General features: G+C 62.3%; 1 protein-coding gene across 10 annotated transcripts in view; it reads right to left on the bottom strand.

The window, feature by feature from the left end:
- Positions 1-240: 240 nt before the first annotated feature.
- The window catches only part of CEP170B (centrosomal protein 170B), a 32235-nt gene continuing 24626 nt past the window's right edge, over positions 241-7849 (bottom strand). For 8 of the 10 annotated variants that reach the window (XM_047431287.1, XM_011536665.3, XM_005267550.5 and 5 more), the window contains 7 exons: positions 7230-7473; positions 3853-4012; positions 3322-3465; positions 3139-3227; positions 2610-2703; positions 2400-2451; positions 241-2277 (listed from right to left, as the gene is read on the bottom strand). In XM_047431287.1, the coding sequence (XP_047287243.1) occupies positions 2030-2277; positions 2400-2451; positions 2610-2703; positions 3139-3227; positions 3322-3465; positions 3853-4012; positions 7230-7473 (1031 nt within the window). In that variant the 3' untranslated portion in view covers positions 241-2029. The remainder of the gene's footprint in view (positions 2278-2399; positions 2452-2609; positions 2704-3138; positions 3228-3321; positions 3466-3852; positions 4013-7229; positions 7474-7849) is intronic. The other 2 variants (NM_001112726.3, XM_017021228.2) reach the window with 1 other exon arrangement.

The following is a 7849-nucleotide window of genomic DNA, read 5'->3' as shown; positions in this document are numbered from 1 at the left end:
AACAAACAAACAAACAAAAACAGCGCTCTCGGATGCTGTCTCACTGAACAGTTTTCATAAATTAACTCTTCTGTTTTTTAGGAGTAAACATCTGGAAATGCTGCTTTCTAGCCCAGGCCGCCTCCTGGTGGCAGCATCTCTGAATTGCAGCCACCCCTGGTCTGTCCTATGTGCAGGGCCCCACCCACCCCAAACACCAAGGATAGAGAAACAAGGCCAAGGTGACAGGCTCCAGCGTGCTGCCATGTGATAGAAGAATGATTTATTAGAACAAATTCCATGACAAATCATATAAAATAACCATTTTCCGAAAGACAGCCACAAGACCACCTGAGAACGAATGTACAGTGAACCCTCCGAGAAGCCCGGCAAACAAGGACCAGTTCCCAGGCAAAGGCTGGAGGGGGAGGAACAAAGGAGCTCAGTGTGGGGAGGAGCAGGAACTTGTGAACTTAAAACATTGCACAGCCACTGCCGAGGGGTGGGAAGGAGCCGTGGATGAAGCGTGACCACTTCATGTCCAGGGGCAGGCGGGGTGGGCAACTGGGGCATGCAGGGGTGGGCAGCAGCCCGGTGGACCGGGCTAGCACCTCCTCCATACAGACAGCAGGCTCTTGGGGCGGGGACCAGGGGGGGACACCTGCCACCCCCGCCCCCCCTCACACACACACGTAAACATCAGGTGGGCCGCAGGCTCAGAGGAACAGAACCCGTACACCCAACCCCAGCTCAGCTAAAAGTAAACAGGGGACACACACCACCCGCTTCCAGCCTCCAGTCCCCAGTGCCGCTCCCCCAGCAGCTGGCCCTGTCCAGGTCCGACTCTCATACCATTGCCAGGCAGGGTGTGGAGCTCACCCACGCCAGTCTGGTCCAGGTGGGACACCCCCACGTCCACCCCCACCAACCACGGCCAACGGGCTCTTTGGCTTAGAGGCTCCGGCAACACGGGCTGCCCCAGCAGGGGCCACGGCAGAGGCACCAAGCTCTGCTCACCTGCCATGTTCCCAGCTGAAAGAATCCTGAGAAAACAACAGTTCCTGGGCCCGTCCCTGCCCCCATGCCCACTTGAGGCCTGATGGCGTGAAGCCAAAAGGGGAGGGCGTGTGGTGCAGGCCAAGCTGCGAGCTTCCGGAAACCCGGCTTCCAGTGACTTTGGTCGTGCGCTCACCCCCGCCAGAAGGGCTGCCATGCACCCGGCTGCACCCAGGACCTTGGAAGCCCACCTACAGAGGCCCATAGCCCCTCACGGGGACATGCCCTGCAGTCCTCACGGTGCAGCGTGGAGGCGCCTGGACTAGCCGTGTGCATGGGAGTTGGGGGGTGTCTGCACCTGTGTGCATGGCTCAGCTCTCAACAAGCCCCTGGTCCATACCCAGGAGGCCTCCACAGGGCAGCCCCAAGCTCAATGGGTTTGGCAACTGTGTTGGCACCAGAGGCTGGAAGCAGTGGGGCTCCTGCCTATAAAAGGCCTGGGGTCAGGTGGGAGCCACCAGGGCAAGTGCCCTGCCATCTCAGACAGTCCCAGGAACAGGTGAGCCTGCCCACCTCCATGTTTGGCACCAAATGACCCCACAGTCGACCTCTCTTCCTCTGCCTGGCCGCAGGCCAGCACAAAGGGTTATGGCAGGTTAGTGCCTGGCGGAGCCAGTCAGGCCTGGAGGGGGCACCTGCAATGGCACCAACAACTCTTTCCTTTAAAGCTAAAGACAAAAATAACAGTGATGAAGAGGAGGCGGGGTAATGCCCTTGAGGGCTTGACCTTGGCAGCAGCCTGGCCAGGAGCTGGGCCCAGAGGCCTGTAGGGGGCGAGGCAGGGGTGGGGGTGGCCATGGGGCTGGACAGGGTGAGTAGGGTGCTGGCTGGGAGCTGACGAGGGGGCAAGGGCGTGGGAGGCACCCGCCCACAGGGATATGGCACATGTGGGGGTCTTCAGGGAGAACCACCTGCGGCCAGGCAGGCGGGTGTGCGGCGGACGGAAGGCAGAGACGCACACGCACAGGGAGGCTGGCCTGGCCAGGTCTGGGGCCTAGATCAGGAACCTCTCGGCATCAGGGAGGAAGGTGGGGTCCGGGAGGCTGGGAGGCCCACAGCTGGCCCGCTGTGGGAAATTCCTCAGGGGCAGGGCTGGCAGCAGGGCCTCGGCTGAGGCGGGTGAGGGTGGGCTCTGGGCAGCCACGCGGCCCTTCCCCAGCCCCGGCTGTGCAGAGCTGGCCAAGCTCCTGTTTCCTGTGAGCAGGTCCAGGCTCCCACTGGGGTCCACGATGGCATTGATAACTGGAGGTGGGGAGGGAGGGTCAGGCTGCGGATCCAGTTCACCTGCTCCCACCCTGTGAGTCAGGGTTCCCCACAAGGCCCTGCCAGCCTCCCTTGCTGCCCCAGGCTTGGGCCACACTCACCTTCCAGCTGTTTCTGCACCCGCCTCAGTTCCTTCAGGATGGAGCTGATTTCCTGGAAACGTGGCAGGAAGGGAGGTGGAGTCAACTTCTGACGGGCTGCAGCCCTGCCCCGGGGCTCTGTGTGCAGGAGCTGGGACAAGGTTTGGGGCCAGCCAGGCAAAGGCAGGCTGGCTGGGGGCAGGCCAAGGGGCACGGGGCCCCAGCGCTCACCTTGTTAGATGTCTTCAGGATGGGCACCTCGTTCTCGGCGTTGATCCTGGCTTCCAGGTCCTCCCAAGCTCTCCCTGTGTTCTGAAAGAGGATCCTGTCCGAGGTAGGGGGAGGCAGAAATGGGGGGACAAGGACAGAGATGACAGAGCTGAGGCACAATTCTCCCAGACCTCCTCTGCCATGGTGAAGTTCATCCCAGCCCACCTGGGCCTAAGGGGGAAACTGAGGCCTGATGCATGAAGGGCACCAAAGTCCCATCTGTGCCTGACACTCGGCGGTGGGGAGGGCTGGGCCCGGGATGAGGGCTAGGGGAGAAGGGGAGGAAGGGCCGCCCTGGAGGCGCTGGCTCCTCTGAGTTCAGGGTCTGCCTGCTGGGAGCCACATACACGTGCACACGGGAGGGCTGCTCCACAGGTGCACACGAGTACCCATGAAACCGCTGCCCTTGAGGGATTCAGCCAGGCTGAGTCTCAGCTCATGCAGCTGTGCTGGTGTCTGGGCGTCCACCTCAGCCAGGAAGCCGACTCACTTCATCTTCTCGGCAAGGTGCTCTGTGTTCTCACGGATGGCCTGCGACAGCTGGGACACCGGGTTCAGCATCAGGTTATCGAAGATCACCTGCAAGAGCCCGGCCTCAGCATGGCCCCGCCCTCGAGGAGCCCCGCCCCTGCTCCCCCCACACCCAGCTCCGTGGCGGTAGTGGGCACCGTGCCTCCTCTCGGTTCCGAGGCCGCGTCTTGTTGGCCAGGGCGTCCTCACAGCTGTCGTTCATGTTCTGGTCAAAGTCCCGAGAGTTCAGCGAGCCGGGCGGCACCTTCTGGAAGTTGAGGCTGGCCTCGGGGATGCGCTGCACCAGCTGCAAGAGGGAGGGCCGGCACCGTGGGCCCCAGGCAGAGGCTCCTGCCAGGCTGTGGCTGCACCTCCCTGCTCCGGCCCGGCAGGTGGACAGAGCACACCCACCTTCCGTCTGTGCAAGGTCCCTCCTGTGCCCCTGCCCCGCCATGGAGGCAGCTGGGCTGGGGATGACGGCACAGTCAGGCTTGACTCAGGTGCCACGAGCGCCCCAGACCTCGAGCTCTCCGGTGGCCGTTTGGGGCGCTGACCCAGGGGGACATGTTCCAGCTCGCCAAGTGGGGATGTGCAGCAGGGCCTCAGCCGAGGCATGCAAAGGGCTGTGGGGACCTGGCCTGACCCTCCTCGAGGGTGGCTCTGGCACAGGGGCCTCAGAAAGCCTGGGGCTCACCTCCTCCCGGGCAGAGATGGTCGAGGCGGGGGTGCTGGGCATGTTGCTGAGGGAGGCGCTGTGGGCAGGCTCCGAGGAGCCCAGTGTGTCACCGTCCCCAGCCACATCGTGGATCTCCTGGGCTAGGATGGCCACGTCCTTCACCAGCGTCTGGCTCAGCCTGCAGCCGGCAGGAAAGACGGCAGGTTCTGCACAGAGGAAGTCGGGGCAGCAGGGGCCAGACAGGCCTCAAAGCCCCTCCCAGCTCCCAGGCAGCTGCTGGCCAGAGGTGGGGCCTGGGGGAGGTGCTCCCCAGCCTGGCCCCAAACACCGGCCTAGCCACTGGTTACACAGGCACTGGCCACGGCCCCAAAGGGAGGCCAAACTCCCCACAGCCACAAGGAGGGATGGTGGGGGGCTGGGACGGAGCCTGAAAAGAAGGGTGCACAGAAACCCTTGCTGGCTCTGGGGCAGGCCACACCTCCTCTCTCTCCGGCCCCCCAGGGCCAGCATCACAGCTGCGGGGCCCAAATGGGATGGATGGGACTCAGTCATAGAACGTGTGGGTGCCACGGGTGCCCAGCTCTGCAGGCAGAGAAACTGAGGCAAGGAAGGGAGTGGGCTGAGGCCACAGAAACTACAGCCTGGCACTCCTCACACTGAGGGTGGGGGCTGGGCAGAGGGTGGGGCTGGGCAGAGGGTGGGGCTGGGCAGATCCAGAGAGGGAGGGGACCCCTTGCAGGCCAGTGAGGCCAATGGCAGCTCAGCCTAGCCCCCTGCTCAAGCCTGGCCAGCTCAGTCCCCCTAGGATGTGCCCAGGGGGCACAGGCCTCCACCCTGCCGAGGTAACAGACACTTCCCAGCGAGGACAGGGGCCTGCCGGGCCCGTGAGCAGCTCCCAGCCCTCTGCTGGAGCGCACAGCCTCGTCAGCTGTCCTGCTGGCCCCTTAAGCACCTGGGCCACCAGCAGGTCCTGCCCCACTTAGGCCTTCAGCCCAGGCCGTGGGGACCTAGGCTCCCTGTCACTGCCAACCACCCATCCTCATGGGGACAGGCCCCACCCCAAGCCTCCTCGGCCCCCACACTGGCAGTCACCCAAGGAACAGACCACCCTGAGGGCCCTCCCCCTACCCCTACCTCCAGCGGCACCACAACCCTCGCCAGACACTGGCACGACCAGAGAAACACCCCCAGCACCCTCTGCCCAGATGGCCTTGCACATCCCACTGGCTGCCCTGGCCCCATTCAGGACTGGGTCCTAGCTGGGTCCACCATTCCACATCAAGACAAAACATGGAAGCCCTCCCTCCACCTCTGGGTGACACCAACTGGCACATGCCCCTGGCCCTCAGGCCCCCGCCCAGCACTCCCTGGCCTCCTGCCCCCGTCATATGGCATGCTCCAGCTCACCCACCATGGAAGGCAGAGAACTCCAGAAACCCACATGGGCCCCCCACATCCCCTTCTGCTCTCAGGCCTGGAAGCACCCACCCCCTTCTCAGCCAGGTGCAGTGTCTCTGTCCAGAGCCCTAGCCCTGTGCTAGCCTCCTCCGCTGATGGCAGCCTTCTTCCCTATGCTCCCCCAATACCTCAAGCATCCCAAGAGCCCTGTCCCCAGTCCCCATCCTTCCAAGCCCCCCAGGTCCTCCCCACCAACTTCATGCTGCTCACAGCCTCAGGTGCCTGCGCCTCCACCCCAGTGTGGGCCACTCTCTAAGGGCCGCCTGCTCCTGGCCACCTCCTTCCAGGTCCCTCATGGGCTTCAAGCTCAGCATCCTCCACAACAAACACTTGCCATCCACCCTGGTCCTGGGACCCCCCCTGCCTGCCCCACAGCCTTTCAGGGACTGCCTTTGCAGTACTGACCACTGCTTGGCAAAGACCACTCTCACTCCCACCCAACTCCCTACCCCATCCTCCCCAGCGCCTGGCCTGGAGAGGGCCCTGTTACTGAATGACCATGTGAGGGAGTTCATTTCTAATGAAAACCTTTGAGGAGGCCCTCCTTGTACTGGCGGTCTCACCTCCTGGGAAGATCTGCATCCACCCACCCCTCCATCCACCCACTCACTCTCCATCCATCCATCCATCCATCCACCCACCCACTCATCCATCCATCCATCCATCCATCCACCCACCCACTCATCCATCCATCCACACCCACCCACCCATCCATCCACACACCCACCCACCCATCCATCCACCCACCCACCCATCCATCCACCCACTCATCCATCCATCCATCCATCCATCCCTCCATCCACCCACCCACTCATCCATTCATCCATCCACCCACCCACCCACTCATTCATCCATTCATCCATCCATCCATCCATCCACCCACCCACTCATCCATCCATCCATCCATCCATCTACCCACTCATCCATCCATCCACCCACTCACTCATCCATTCATCCATCCATCCATCCACCCACCACTCATCCATCCATCCATCCACCCACCCACTCACCCATCCATCCATCCACCCACTCACTCATCCATTCATCCATCCATCCATCCACCCACCCACTCATCCATCCTTCCATCCATCCACCCACTCACTCACCCATCCATCCATCCATCCATCCACCCACCCACCCACCTACTCACCCATCCATCCATTCATCCATCCATCTACCCACCCACTCATCCATCCATCCACCAACCCACTCATTCATCCATCCATCCATCCATCCACCCACCCACTCACCCATCCACCCACTCACTCATCCATTCATCCATCCATCCATCCATCCATCCATCCACTCATCCATCCATCCACCCACCCACTCATCCATCCATCCATCCACACACTCATCCATCCATCCATCCACCCACCCACCCACTCACCCATCCATCCATCCACCCACTCACTCATCCATTCATCCATCCATCCATCCATCCACCCACCCACCCTCCTATTCATCCATCCATCCATCCATCCACCCACCCACCCACCTACCCACCCATCCATCCATCCATCCATCCATCCATGCATCCATCCATCCATCCACCCACCCACCCTCCCATCCATCCATCCATCCACCCACCCACCCACCTACCCACCCAGCCATCCACCCATCCACCCACCCAGCAACCTATCCATCTACCTGCCCACCTGCCCATCCATCCATCCATCCACCCACCCACCCACCCTCCTATCCATCCATCCACCCACCCACCCTCCTATCCATCCATCCATTCATCCATCCATCCATCCATCCATCCATCCATCCATCCATCCATCCATTTGTCCATCCATCCAGCCAGCCAGCCATCTGCCGTACCATCTATCCACTCAAGAAGGGAGCTCCCAGCCTGGTCCCTGCCCTCAGGGTGCTCTCACTCAAGAAAACGCACTGGCACCCAGTGGATTTACTCTGAATGGGCTACTCACCTGGCAATCTCCGCAATCTCTGCCGTCTGCACGATGAAACCATAAGGGTCAGGCTCCTCCTCATCGTCGTCCGTGTCCCGGGGGCCGGGGGCCCGGGAACGAGCCCGGCTGGAGCTGCCAGCCCTCGGGGTCTGAGTGGCTGTTGAGGTGTGGGAGCGTGTGTGTTTGGGGGAGCCGTGGCGGGAGCCGTACTCCTCCTCAGAGGTGGACGTGTAATCCGAGCCCTGCTGCCGGCGCCTCGTGTCTTGGTGAGTGAATTGGTTTTAGAAGCAAGAACAGAACAAAGCAGCACTCAGCACCCTGTGGCAGTCCCAGGGTCCCTCTGGGAGAGGGCTCAGTGCTGCAGGGCTGGGCAGCGTCGAGGCTGGTGCCCCCACCCAGTAGCCCTTCATTGAAACATCAACAGCTGCTGAGCTCCAGGGACCACAAGGCCCCCACCAGCCCAGGGCACATGCGGGGAAGGCGGCCTGGTGCTCCCAGGCCAGTGGCTGCAACCCGGGAGCAGTCTGCAGCTGATTAGGTGGGAAACCCCCTTACAGGTGGTGGGAAAGCAGTGCCTGACAGACCCCAAAACAGAGTAAACCTCCCCACCAGGACCTGCTGCGGCCCAGGCTGGACCA

Source organism: Homo sapiens, chromosome 14 (genome assembly GCF_000001405.40).
Source record: "Homo sapiens chromosome 14, GRCh38.p14 Primary Assembly".
Taxonomy (NCBI): Eukaryota; Metazoa; Chordata; class Mammalia; order Primates; family Hominidae; genus Homo; species Homo sapiens.
This window is presented reverse-complemented; position numbering and strand designations above follow the sequence as displayed.